Below are 14685 nucleotides of genomic sequence, written 5' to 3' on the forward strand. Positions count from 1 at the left end.
CAGGTGCACGCCACCACATCCGGCTAATTTTTGTATTTTTAGTAAAGATGGGGTTTCACCATGTTGGCCAGGCTGGTCTCAAACTTCTGACCTCAGGTGATCTGCCTGCCTCGGCCTCCCAAAGTGCTGGGATTACAGGCATAAGCCACCCCATCCGGCCTATTAACAATGTTTTATGAGAGATGCAAACAGTCTTTCATTATGAGCCACTGGAACCCCTTAAGTAGAGTTGTGGTAAAATGGCTATCTAGTAATACATAGACACCGTCAAATCCTGTGAGAAAATCCTCCAATCCTCTGAGAAAATAAACAAATACCCCTATTTTATACCATATATCATCTATTTTAAAATATCTGAGACTAGATTACAAAGGATACCTTTCACCCTCTTTGAAGAAGCCAAAAGAAGATGATCTTCAGGTAGGATGTGGGTAATGATACCAATAGCTCTTTCTGCATGAAATCTGTAATACAGATAGATACAGTCTGGCATTTCTTTTTAGTTACAAATGATTTAGGAATTTTAAAAATCACAATCTGTAATATAATATTGATAGAAAGTACTTCTAAAACTATCTGTGGTAAAGATCCAGCTTTTTGTTTTAAATTTCCAATCTGTTGTAGACTGAACTTTTAATACCCAACAGAGACTCCCATTTCCCTCAGAATGAGAGGAAATCTTTACTACAGACTACAAGATTCTACATGATCTTTCAGCCTGCTACTTCCCTGACCTCATCTCCTGCCATTCTCACACCAACCCTCTCCGCCTTCCCCTCCAGCCACACAGGCCTAGCAGTTTCCTGAACATGCAGAGCATGTTCTCACCCTGGCTTTACCCTTTCTATAATGCTCTTCCCCTGAACATTCTCACGACTCGCTCCTCAGGTCTTTCCAGAACAGACCACATAAAAGGCCCTAAAAAAATTTACCACTGGCCGGGTGCAGTGGCTCATGCCTGTAATCCCAGCACTTTGGGAGGCTGAGGTGGGTGGATCACCTGAGGTCAGGAGTTCGAGACAAGCCTGGCCAACATGGTGAAACTCCATCTCTACTAAAAAAATACGAAAATTAGCCAGGTGTGGTGGTGAACGCCTGTAATCCCAGCTACTCAGCAGGCTGAGGCAGAATCGCTTGAACCTGGGAGGTGGAGGTTGCAGCGAGCCAAGATTGCACCATTGTACTCCAGCATGAGTGACAAAGACTGTCTCAAAAAAAAAAAAAAAAATTACCATCACTCTCTCAACTCAGCCTACTTTACTCTTCTTCACAACATGTATTCTTGCCTGACAAGTTTGGTTATTTGTTTATGGCCCATATCACCAAATAGAAGGTAAGCTATTTCTGTTTTATTGTCAGTTTCTTTCAAACAATGCCAAGCCTCCCTCTCCCCCACCCTCCAGGTAACCACTAGTTTTCTCAAATCTGTCTTCCAATTTACTAATTCTCTCTTTTGTTGTAACTAAACTTCTGTTTAACTTGTCTGCTGAGGTTTTTTTTGTTTTGTTTTTGTTTGTTTGTTTTTTTTACACAGGATCCTGCTCTGTCATCCAGGCTGGAGTACAGTGATGCAATCATGGCTCACCGCAGCCTCAAACTCCTGGGCTCGGGTGATCCTCCCACCTCAGCCTCCCGGATAGGTGGGTTACAGGTGTACACTGCCATGCCCAACTAATTTTTTTGCATTTTCTTTGAAGAGACAGGGATTTGCTATGTTGTCCAGGCTGGTCTCAAACTCCTGGGCTCAAGTGATCCACCCACCCTGGCCTCCTAAAGTGCTGGGAGTACAGGCGTGGGCCACCACGCCTGGCCCATCTGCTGAGTTTTAATGTCAATGACTATTTCCATTTCTAGCCATTTGTTTTATTTTTATAACAGCTCAAGATATAATTAGTATACCACACAATTCACCCATTTAATGTGTACAATTCAATGATTTTTAGTGTATTCACAGAGTAGTATGCCAATCACCAAAATCAATTTTACAACATTTTCATTACCCCATAAAGAAACCTATGCCCATTAGCAGTCAGTCTCCATTTCCCTCCAACTCCCCAGCCTAGATAACATCAATTTATGTTCTCTCTACGGATTTGCCTATTCTGGACATATTACATAAATGAAATCATACAATATGTGATCCTTTGTGACTGGCTTCTTTCACTGGGCACAGTGTTTTCAAGGTTCATCCATGCTGTAGCATGTAACAGTTACTTTAAAATCTGCCCTTTTCCAGCCAGGCATGGTGGCTCACATCTGCAGCCTCAGCACTTTAGGAGGCCAAGGGGGGCAGATCACTTGAGGTCAGGAGATCGAGACCAGTCTGGCCAACATGGTGAAACCCTGTCTCTACTAAAAATACAAAAATTAGCCAGGTGTGGTGGCGTGTGCCTGTAATTCCAGCTACTCAGGTGGCTGAGACAGGAGAATCGCTTGAACCTGGGAGGTGGAGAGTGCAGTCAGCCGAGATCACGCCACTGCACTCCAGCCTGGGCGACAGAGTGACAGACTCTGTCTCAAAAAAAAAACAAAACAAAAACAAAAAAACTTCCTGTTTTCTTTATGGGAATATTCTTCATTCTTTCTTTTATATTAGAGTTAACAAAGTTTTTCTGTAGAGGGCCAGATAGTAAATATTTTAGGTTGTGTTGTCCACACATTCTCTGCTGCAACTACTGAACTCTGGCTGCTGTAGTGTGAAAGAAGCTATAGAAAACACATGAATGAATGAGCATGGCTATGTTCCAGTAAAACATAAAACTTTACTTATAGGCCTAGTTCGTCAACCTATTTTGTATCTTTAATCATATAAAGAACACATACTTTACAGCATCAACCAAAAAGAAGTTCTGGTTTTTTTTTTTGTTTTTTTTTTTGAGACGGAGTCTCGTTCTGTCGCCACGCTGGAGTGCAGTGGTGATCTTGGCTCACTGCAACCTCCGACTCCCGGGTTCAAGCGATTCTCCTGCCTCAGCCTCCCGAGTAGCTGGGATTACAGGCGCATGCCACCATGCCTGGCTAATTTTTGTATTTTTAGTAGAGACGGGGTTTCACTGTGTTGGCCAGGATGGTCTCCATCTCCTGACCTCGTGATCTGCCCGCTTCGGCCTCCCAAAGTGCTGGGATTACAGGTATCAGCCACTGCGCCCAGCCAAAAAAAAGTTCTGTTAACTAAAGTTTTCAGGATTCTAATCCTGTTCATTATGTCTGCTGACTCAGAGGAAATATTTCCTTATGTTTTGTAATTTTTAATGGTGAGTTCATTTTAGGTAAAGCTTCGTCTATGAAATGTCTGTATAGTTTGGGTTGACAGATAATTATTTCCAAGTCTTGCATTTTCTCTCACAAGGCATCCCAGGAGAACCAGCACCCCCAAAGTGCTTTTTAATATTTTTCTGTTTGCAGATCCTGATGCATTATCCCTAAACTCAAGAGCGGTATAGGTAAATAATTATGTTTTGTGAGGCTTCTTTTTGGGTTCAACTGTGACACCAAGCTCAGATGGCCAACTTTCCCTGTCATCTATTAATTAGATAGATGTCCACCTGTCCTTTCCCTGGGGTTGTAGTCCCTTTTTTTTTTTTTTTTTTTTGGAGACAGAGTCTCACTCTGTTGCCTAGGCTGGAGAGCAGTGGCGTGATCTCGGCTCACTGCAACCTCCACCTCTTGGGTTCAAGCAATTGTCTGCCTCAGCCTCCCGAATAGCTGGGATTACAAGTGCCCACCACCATGCCCGGCTAATTTTTGTATTTTTAGTAGAGATGGCATTTCATCGTCTTGGCCAGGCTTGTCTTGAACTCCTGACCTCAGGTGATCCACCTGCCTTGGCCCGCCAAAGTGCTGAGATTACAGGCGTGAGCCACCACGCCCGGCCGGGTTGCAGTCTTGACTTTGCTTCATGTGAGGGTTTCAGTTCTAACTCCCAGCCTCCTATAGGCTGTTTCTTAAACCAAGGTTACAGAAATCTGTAAACTTTCCCATCACCCCAGAGCAGTTATACCACAGGCCATACTTAATCCTTTAAATTTTAGTGTCCATTATTGGCCCTTGGGGGATTTCCCCCTCACTCTTGCAAGCTCAGTTATATATTTAAAAAGACAATTGTTATTCAGTATTTCTATGTGTTATCACCAAGAAGTTTTTAGGTTATTAAGTTTGCTACTGTATTACTCAAAAATTATTGAAGGAAATACTCAAAACATAAGTTATATTCTGCATGAAAATATACAAGTCTCAATAGTAAATCACATAAAGGCTAAATGAATAACCTATAAATTAGTATGACTTTATTTATTTTTGGAAACAGGGTCTCACTCTGTTGCCCAGGCTGGAATGCAGTGGTGTGAATATGCTTCGCTGCATCCTTGACCTCTTGGGCTCAAGCGATTCTCCTGCCTCAGCCTCCAGAGAAGCTGGGACCACAGGCATGCACCAAAACGTCCATCTAGTTTTAAAAATTTTTTGAGTAGACAGGGTCTCAAACTCTTGGGCTCAAGCAATCTTTCCACCTCAGCCTCCCAAAGTGCTGGGATTACAGGCGGGAGCCTCTGCACCTGAAAACTGGTATGATTTTAAATGACTTCAAGAACATTTTAGGCATTCTGATAAAGCTCCAGGAAGACAAGTTCAATCCATAAAGTATATCAAGTACTATTATTAATGTAATAATAGTTCCCTAATGGGAAAAAACAAAATAAAACAAAAACAGTATTTCCTCCTTCAGAGAAAAGGAATGTGGAACTTACAGTGCATTGTCAAATTTCCCAGAGCTATACTGGTGGACATAAGAAGAGTAGGCCAAATCTTCATGAGCTGTTGCTACGTGGATATTTTTGCCACCAAACACTGACTGTCTAATGTCAAGGGCTGCCTGAAAGAATCATAAAAATATTTGTCAATACTGTAGAAAATACCACCTAGTTAAATTAAACATCCTAGTAATTTAAATATATATCTATATGCCTAACACCATAAAATTTTGAAGCCCAGAAAGTCCTGCTGTATTTAAATTACAGAACATGAAAGTCACCTAGAAGTCCTGAATTTCTGAAGATACGAGTTTGACTTAAAAGGCCACGGCTTAATAATAATAATAATAATAATCATTCCTATGTCTTGAGAATCAAGACATTGGGAATGTTTTGCTCTGTTTCCTTCTTCAAAAGTGAACCTTAGGCCAGGCGCGGTGGCTCACACCTGTAATCCTAGTACTTCTGGGAGGCAAAGGTGGGTGGATCACCTGAGGTCAGTAGTTCAAGACTAGCCTGGGCAACATGCTGAAACCGCCTCTCTACTAAAAATACAAAAATTAGCCGGGCATTGTGGCACGGGCCTGTAATCCCAGATACTCAGGAGGCCGAGGCACGAGAATTGCTTGAACTTGGGAGGCAGAGGTTGCAGTGAGCTGAGATTGCGCCATTGCACTCCAGCCTGGGCGACAGATCAAAACTGTGTCTCAAAAAAAAAAAGTGAACCTTGAAGTCAAGTATGCCTTGTCTACAGCAATGGCATAATACATCATTTACCTGAGAATGAGTAAGAAAGACCTAAAATAATTATCAGCCATCTTTGTTACTACAAAGGCAGTTTTAGTGACATTTGCTAAATCAACAACAAAGACAAGCCATTACATGGGTAAATAAAAAATGGAAAACTACTCCCACATATGAGCTCACAACCCAATAATTCCTTTCCTGAATGATTTTCTTTAATTCCCAAAGCATTAACTTTTACACCTTCTAGGTAATACTTAATAAAATAATGATGCAACCTATATTGGTGGGCGGGGTAGTTGTCAAAAAGTCATTTTTAGAGTGGTTTATACACCACAAACAAATACAGGTCAGCAAGTCAATACAGGTTGAAAGAAAAAAAGGGTAACCATTAACATACCTGATAAATTGCAACAGACTGACAGATATTATCTACATTGAGTAAGTAGAACCCATAATCTAGCAGTGTATCAGAATATTTTGGGTGTTTGGATCCAAAATGATCCCTATAAAAAGACACAAAATTATTAGGATATAAAGTATAGAGACAATTTAAAAGGATATTTTTAATAATAATCACCTACCGTGCCAAATACACTGCATGTTTAATTAACTGTTCTGCCTTCTTAAATTCACGTTTTACTACACAAGCCTAAAGATAAAGTGAAAAATGGTTAACTCTCAAACAGTTCATTAGTGTGCTAAAATACGTGTAGTTTATATATTCTGGCTATAAGAGTTAATAAGAAAAAAAACCCTCCAAACATAAATACAAAGGTTCTATTTGTAATTTCTTTCCTTCCAAGTACTTAAAAATTCTATTATAAACAGATCTGTATATAAGCTGGGAAAATTATAAAGTTTAAAATTTTGACAGTCAGTCCTAGTACAAATCTGTCAAAACAAAGTTACCTTACAAAGCTGGTATACCCCCATTTTCCGCTATTATTAAAATAAAACAATGGGGGCAGAATTTACCACAGCATTTTCTAAGGTCCTTATATCCCAGTCCTGGAGTGGCTGACAACAATCTTTTGTTATTTTCATTTAATAATTTTTAAATGCATAGAATTTCAAGTTTTCCTATTAATTCTTTTCTTAAGAGACAAGGTTTTATGTTGCCCAGGCTGGACTTGAACTCCTGGCTACAGGGATGTGCCACTGTGCACAGCTCTCAGTTGTTATTTTGATCCATGATTATAGCTAGGCATTTTCTAAAAACTCTAAATATAATTTGCATATAGAAATATAAATCTTGTGGCCGGGCACAGTGGCTCATGCCTGTAATCCCAGCACTTTGGGAGGCCGAGGCGGGCAGATCACAAGGTCAGGAGATCGAGACCATCCTGGCTAACACGGTGAAACCCCGTCTCTACTAAAAATACAAAAAATTAGTCGGGTGAGGTGGCGGGCACCTGTAGTCCCAGCTATTCAGGAGGCTGAGGCAGGAGAATGATGTGAACCCTGGGGGGCGGAGCCTGCAGTGACCCGAGATCGCGCCACTGCACTCCAGCCTGGGCGACAGCAAGACTCCATCTCAAAAAAAAAAAAAAAGAAAAAAAAACCCAGAAATATAAATCTTGCATAAATATTATGTTGTCTTTATATTAATATTCAATTATTTCAATTAATTAAAAACGTAAGAATATCCCTGTTCTAGCTCTGATAACTTAAATATTTATGCTGTTTACTTACTCTAAAATGACTGATTTAATAAATTTCAGAGAAATATTAGACTCTCTCAGATCTATAATTTTGGAATCTATTTTCTAGTTGAATTTCCATAAGTAAAATCAACCAAAATGAAATATTCAAATCTGAGAAACTTCAGGGTAGAAGAGTGTATCTGAAAAGTACATTAATGCTTTAAGTCCTCACTGCACCAAAGGAGTAGTTTTAAAATACTACTAAATGTCCTCAAAGAGTTAACGCAGGCCAACCGTGGTGGACCTGTAATCCTAGAACTTTTGGAGGCTTGCCTAGAACTTTTGGAGGCTCAGGTGGGAGGATCGCTTGAGTCCAGGTGTTTGAGACCGGCCAGGGCAACATAGTGAGACCCTGTCTCTATTTAAAATAAAATAAAAATGTAAAAGATTTAATGCATTTATTTACAGAATAAGAAAACACTAGAGAAAAATCAAGTAAGGACTGCCTAGCAGGTCAAGTATAGCAAGCTGCCTTGCTGTGAGACTGCAATACTATGACAAAGAGATTTAACACCAGGCTATCTTTAGCAGAAAAGTGACCAAAGTTCACAGGATTTTGGCATAAGGAATTCTGGTTGCTATAAATATTTAAGAAAAACAAAAACAAACTCAAGCCAGAATAGCACCCAAATACTACTTTGAGCTGTACTTTAGTGCACTGAAACAATGATCAAAATGAATTATTTCACTGGTTTTCTTGGTAAAGAAAAATTGGCTAAAAATCTATGTGTGATATAGTTTTAGTTAGAAACCAGATTTCTAAAAATGAGCACAGAAACTTATAAAACAGACCTATGCCTACGGAGTGTACAAATAACTAAAATGTTAAATAACAGGTTAATTAAAACAAACTTAAAGCCTGATAAATCCTATAATTCATTTAATAATTTTAACATTATATTTACCTTAGAAGCTTGTCTTAAGACATCCACCACAACTTTCACTGGTAAGCCTGCTGTAATTTCTTTCATTGCCTCGATGCACCATTTGTATGCCTAAAAAAATTATTTATAGAAGAGACAGAACTGTGGTTAAATCAAGTTGACAATATTTAACAAGATGACTGCAAAATTTTTCTACAAGCACTTAAATAAGAACACACACAAAATATTTACAGTTAGAATTTTCTGAGGCTAAACTTTCTTCAAAGTATAAATCTGTTATATTATTTTTACTCTTAATATCTATAGCTTATCTGAATCAGACGTTGTGGATACATGACATATCTTCTGGAAATCAGAGGTATGTTCTCTCTTGCCCAGAAGCCTTTGCACATACTGTTCCCTCTGCCTTAAAATACATTCCCCCTTCCTCCAACCCCTTAAACTCATCTGTCTTGTGGGGTTTCCTGTGTTTTCCTATACATTCCATCCTCCTATTGTAACATTTGTTATTTTATGTCTGAATTGTCTGTTTAGTTGAGTGTTTACTTTGTCCCAGCTACTGTCCAAAGTATTTTATGTGCATTAACACATTTACCTGACAAAACAGCCCTATAAGATACGTACTATTAGGGGAAACAGGTGTAGAGAGGTTAAGTGGCAGGTAATGTGCTAGTATCTAGGTATGAAGTGGGAAACAAAACCAAAAATGTCCTTCCTCTCCTGGTGCTTAGTGGAAGAAATAAAAAAGGCAAAATAAATTGTCTTAGGCTGGGTGTAGTGGTGCATACCTGTAATCCCAGCACTTTGGGAGGCTGAGATGGGAGGATCGCCAAGCTCAGAAGTTTGAAACCAGCCTGGGTTATAACATAGTGAGACTTTGTCTCTATCAAAAATCAAAAAAATTAGCTGGGCGTGGTGATGTGCACCTGTAGTTCCAGCTACTTGGTAGAGCTGAGGTGGAGGCTGCAGTGAGCCGTGATCATGCCACTGCACTCCAGACCTTGGTGATGGAGTGAGACGCTGTCTCAAACAAACAGACAAACAAACAAACAAAGACAAGTGTGGCCATGTGATTTCTTTCCACAATTAAAATATGAGAAGTGAAATGTGCCACTTCTGGAAGAAAAGTCCAAGAGCCGGCAGTACTTCTCCATGAAGTTTCTGCCCCTGTGCCCAGGCTGGTAATGTTCTAGATAGATACGTTCCAGATAGACCCAAAACCACGCTGTGTCTTGATCAAAGCGTAGGTATAATGTTAAGAACAGCCATAGCCATCTGAAGACAGGGATATATTATGAGCCAGAAAGAAACTTTTATTGTTCCAAGCTATTCTGGGGTTGATATTACCTCTGCATAACCTAGCCTATCCTAACACAAAAACATGATGCTAATTCATCAAACCATGTCTGTAAGATTTGTGTACTTTTCTGTAGATATCAGTGAAAAGCTTATTTATCACTAGAAGATTGAACTGTCAAAATTATCCAAGACTTCAACATTCCTCACGAATGTGCTGAGAGCTGCAAAGACATGAATAAGGCACAGTATAAACCCCTAAATCCAAATGTAGAAGGAAAATAACTGTCAGGCTGGGCATGGTGGCTCATGCCTGTAATCCCAGCACTTCAGGAGGCCAAGGTAGAGGATCACCTGAGCCCAGGAGTTTGAGTCCAGCGTGGGTGACAAAGCAAGATCCTGTCTCAAAAACTACAACACGAGGCCCAACCAAACAATTTAGGCAAATATTTGGTTAAATTAAAAGAAAAACAACAAAAGAAAGGGCTCTAAATTACACATGTATATATTTCAAATTCACCTCACAAACACTCCTTTTGCCTGATTTTTTATTTTTTTGAGACAGGGTCTCACTCTGTCACTCAGGCTGGAGTACAGTGGTATAAATATGGCTCACTACACCCTCAACTTACTGGGCTCAAGGGATCCTCCTGCCTCAGCCTCCCATGTAGTTGTGACCACCACAGGCGTGTGCTACACATGCGGCTAATTTTCTATAGAGGCAGGGTCTCTCTCACTTTGTTGCCCATGCTGGCCCCAAACTCCTGGGCTCAAGTGATCCTCTACCTTGGCCTCCTAAAGTTCTGGGATTACAGGCATGAGCCACAGTGCTCGGCTTGTCTGATTTTAAATTTTCCATTACAAATGTGTACTGCCTTATATAAACCTAATATGTAAAAGAGATCTGTAAGAAAAATAAGAGAAGACTATTTGATTTACCCTCTGTTTTTATAGGTACTTATTGGTCACAGTGAAATGTACCTTAAAACACTTACCTCATCATAGTGACTTTTTGCAAATAGGAGTGCACACAGTTCTCCATAGAGTGCAGCTTTATTTGCTTGCTGGCCATGTTTTGATAGTTTATCCATATATGTCTGAGCTAATTTAAATGTTTCTTCACCCAAATGATATTTGCAGTTTCCATTTCGCACATGAAGCAACCTATAAAACACCAATAACATTGCTCTATTTTTGATATTTTCAGCTTGGTAGACCTGATGACCTCTTACCAATCACCTGAATGACTTAAGGTAATTAAATACAATTACAAGGCAGCATTGAAAATAAGTGTGTGGCCCAAATTGGAGTTGACCTCATGCCCATAAAGAAGTACATGCTCTTTCCTGAAAGCGTCCCATAATTCATCTCATCAATTGTTGATTCCTTCTCTAAATATTTTATATATTTTATGTACTCAGCATGTACTGCATCTAAAAAAATGACATTTAATCTTTTTGTTCCAAATCCACAAGTAATATAGCTTCAGTATAAGAAACTTGGAAAATAATGAAGAAAATAAAATTGACATAAAATATCTTCTTTTCTTATTTTTGGTATAGTCTAACACTTGATCAGTTACCACTTATTTCATGATGCTTCATAATGTTCATTTTTTCCAATAAGATAAATTTACCGAAAATAGCAGTAGTGTCAACTATTTCTTTTAAAATCTTTATCCTCTATAGTAGAAATACAGAGTTCTTTAAACAAATTAACTGTACAACTATGCTGACTATTTAATGATATGCAAAAATAGTACAATGCTTTAGATCAGACTGGTCTAGATAGCAACAGACTGTGTATCTATATAGACTGTACAAGATAGGCAAATAGTGTTAGGACTGGACAAATATTTATTTATTTATTTATTTATTAAATGCTAGCTAGAACATTATGTTCATGTATCAAGCCAATACAACTTTCTGAAAATGCTCAGACTGAGAAGGAACAAAGGTATAAAAGCTATTTAAAAGAAAAACAAGGATGGACAGGTTAGGAAGTATTCCTCAGGAGCATCAAATCAACAGATACAAAAAATTTATTTTTTCTATCTATACCACAATTATTAACAGATTAGTAACTCATAATGAGAAAAATTCAGACAATCTTTTAATCTCTATCATTCCTCTGTATAGTCACAGAAACAGATTAACTTCCAAAGAACCAGGACTAATCAATAAAGTGATGACTACTATACAATGCCAATGTGTATCCTCCCAACACGTACCATACAATTATCTGCAAAATCTATTACCATAAGCAGCTTATGTTCTAGTGGTGAGAAGGGTATTAGTGTGGGCAAAGATAAAATACGTAAGACTTTCATTTAAGGATAAATGCCATAAAGATGATAAAAAAGTAGGGTAATATGATCAAAAGATTCTGAAAGGAGGTATTTAGGGTAGACAGGGAAGAATCCTCCTGAGGTAGTAACATTTAAGTTGACATCTAAATGATGACACTGTAGCCAGCCAAGTGAAGATCTGGTGGGGAAGCATGTTCCAAAACAGAAGGAACAGCAAAACAGAAGGAATAGCCCCTGAGAAGGGATGGGGGGAAATCCTGGCATAGTCAAAGGAACAGAAAGAAGGCCAATTCATCTAGACTACAGTGAATAAAAGATTATGTAAAGAGAAATGAGAAGGGAGAGATAAGCAAGATTTTATAGCACCTTGCGGGCCGTGGAAAGGAGTTTTGTTTGCAACAGTAAGGGAGGTGATTTGACTTATGCACTATCTAATATAATTTCCTGAGATGTTAGAAATGTTCTATACTTGTGTTGCTCAATTTGGTAGCCACTAGCCACAGTGGCTACTGAGTATTAGAAATGTGCCTAGTGTGACTGAGGCACATTTTACTTTTAATTAATTTAAACTTAATAATCACATATGGTTAATGGCTACCATATGGGACAATGCAACTCTATCAAGAATGCTCTGGCTACACTCTGGCTATAGCAAAGCCAAGAGGGGAAGCAAAGCAACCAAGGCAGAAGATACTGTAACAGTCCAGAAAAAAAAGTCCTTGAGAAAAAAAGGATTAGTATTTGAAACACAGATTTGATAGCCAAATGGTTGAAAGAGAAAAAAATGAGAAACCCATAGGTTGAAAATTTAGAGAATAAAAAGAACAGTGCTTACTTCTCATTTCCACAATGCTAAGAATTTCCTTTCCAAAGACCTTCACTGTAAGTATTCTCCTGAAATAACAATCTGTGGAAATTATTTAGTAATTGGCACATGATGAAGTAGCAAAATAAACACTGTATGCCAGAAAGGCACAGCTTGGTATTTTCTCCAGTCCCTGCTGAATGTCTATTTAAACAAAAGGGCAAATTAAACATATGGAGACTCTTTAGGTTCTGTGTGTCCATCTGGGCTGACACTAAGCAGTATATTGAATCCAAGGAACTTGTGGTCCAACTTATTATGGTCTAATTTTATCCCAACCTTCTGCCTAAGGAAAAAGGAGGTTCTCAAAATGTGGCACTACCATGTAAACACAGTATTTTACTTTCATAACATAAAATTATGTCTACCTGATCAACACCTACTGTCAAGAACAATTACTATTTGATTGAACTATTCATTGTTTAAAATGAAAAATATACAAATGTGTAAGTCATTAGTTTACTAATATATTTACCATAAGACTGAACATGACTAGTTAGAGCCTCATCAGCCAGACATGACGAAAGTAAAATACACTGAAAGTGAACCTAAAGGAAAAGAATTTCTCTCCTTCTTGTAAGTGTCTTTTTCTTAGAACTAGTTTATCCCAGCACTTTGGGAGGCCGAGGTAGGCGGATCACGATGTCAGGAGATCGAGACCATCCTGGCCAACACGATCCCCGTCTCTACTAAAAATACAAAAAAAAATTAGCTTGGCATGGTGGTGCGTGCCTGTAGTTCCAGCTACTTGGGAGGCTGAGGCAGAAGAATCGCTTGAACCCAGGAGGCAGAGATTGCAGTGAGTCGAGATCACACCACTGCACTCCAGACTGGCGACAGAGCAAGACTCCATCTCAAAAAAAAAAAAAAAAAAAATTGGAAATAAATGATAGCTTGAAAGGGGAGAGCTGCATAATGAAAATAAAGACCGGTATGGGTTTAATAATTTTTTTTTACTATGGTGAAATATATATAAAACTTTGCCATATGAGCTATTTTTAAGTATACAATTCAGTGGCATTAATTATATTAACTATGTCATGCAACCATCAATACTATCCACTTCCAAAACTTTTTCATCACCCCAAACAGTCCCTAGTAACCTTTAATCTACTTTCTGTCTCTATGAATTTGCCTATTCTACATATTTCATGTAAGTGGAACCATACAATATTTGTCCTTTTGTGTCTAACTTATTTCACTTAGGATAAAATTTTCAAGGTTCATCCATGTTGTAGCATGTACCAAAACTGGCTGAATCATTGTATGTGTATATATGTAAATGCCAAATTTTGTGTATCTATTTATCTGCTGATGGATACTTGGATTGTTTTTATCTTTTGACTTGTGAAAAATTCTGCTATAAACACTAGCACACAAATATCTCTCGATTCCTTGCTTTCAATGCTTTTAGGCATATACTTGGAGTGAAATTGCTGAGTCATACAGTAATTCTATGTTTAGCTTTTTGACAAACTGCCAAACTGTACTCCACAGCAGCTGCACCATTTTACATTCCCAGCAACAGTGCACAAAGTTTCCAATTTCTTTTTTTTTTTCAAATGCTCTCTCAGCAGAATCACTTGATTTCTTCTCATCCTTGCCAACAGTTATTTTCTTTTTTTTAAACTGTACCCATCTTGGTAGGAATAAAGTGGTAGCTCATTATGTTTGATTTCCATTTCCCTAATGCTGAATGACACTATCTTTTCATGTGCTTATCTTTTCATGTGCTTACCGGTCTTTTGTGTATCTTCCTTGGGAAAATGTCTATTCAAGTCCTTTGTCCATTTTTTATTTTTAATTTTATGAGACAGAGTCTCACTCTGTCACCCAGGCTGGAGTGCAGTTGCATGATCAAGCTCACTACAGCCATGATCTCCTGGGCTTAAGTGATCCTCCCACCTCAGCCTCCTACGTAGCTGAGACGACAGGCCAGTGCCACCACACCTGGCTGATTTTTAAAAAAATTATTTTAATAGAGACAAGGTCTTGCTATTTTGCTCAGGCTGGTCTCAAACTCTTGAGCTCAAGAAATCCTTCTGCCTCAGCCTCCCAAAGTGCTGGGATTACAGGTGTGAGCCACCATGCCCAGCCTGCTCTTTATTAATTAATTAATTAAATTTTTAACAGA

At 38.6% G+C, this 14685-nt stretch overlaps 1 protein-coding gene across 4 annotated transcripts in view; it reads right to left on the bottom strand.

Moving 5' to 3' along the window:
- Nucleotides 1-14685, bottom strand: part of APPBP2 (amyloid beta precursor protein binding protein 2) — an 83085-nt gene that overhangs the window by 12760 nt on the left and 55640 nt on the right. For all 4 annotated transcript variants that reach the window (NM_001282476.2, NM_006380.5, XM_047435116.1 and 1 more), the window contains 6 exons: nt 10374-10542; nt 8104-8193; nt 6077-6144; nt 5893-5998; nt 4746-4870; nt 379-464 (listed from right to left, as the gene is read on the bottom strand). In NM_001282476.2, coding sequence (NP_001269405.1) covers nt 379-464; nt 4746-4870; nt 5893-5998; nt 6077-6144; nt 8104-8193; nt 10374-10542 — 644 coding nt within the window. The remainder of the gene's footprint in view (nt 1-378; nt 465-4745; nt 4871-5892; nt 5999-6076; nt 6145-8103; nt 8194-10373; nt 10543-14685) is intronic.

This window comes from Homo sapiens, chromosome 17, assembly GCF_000001405.40.
Source record: "Homo sapiens chromosome 17, GRCh38.p14 Primary Assembly".
NCBI lineage: Eukaryota > Metazoa > Chordata > Mammalia > Primates > Hominidae > Homo > Homo sapiens.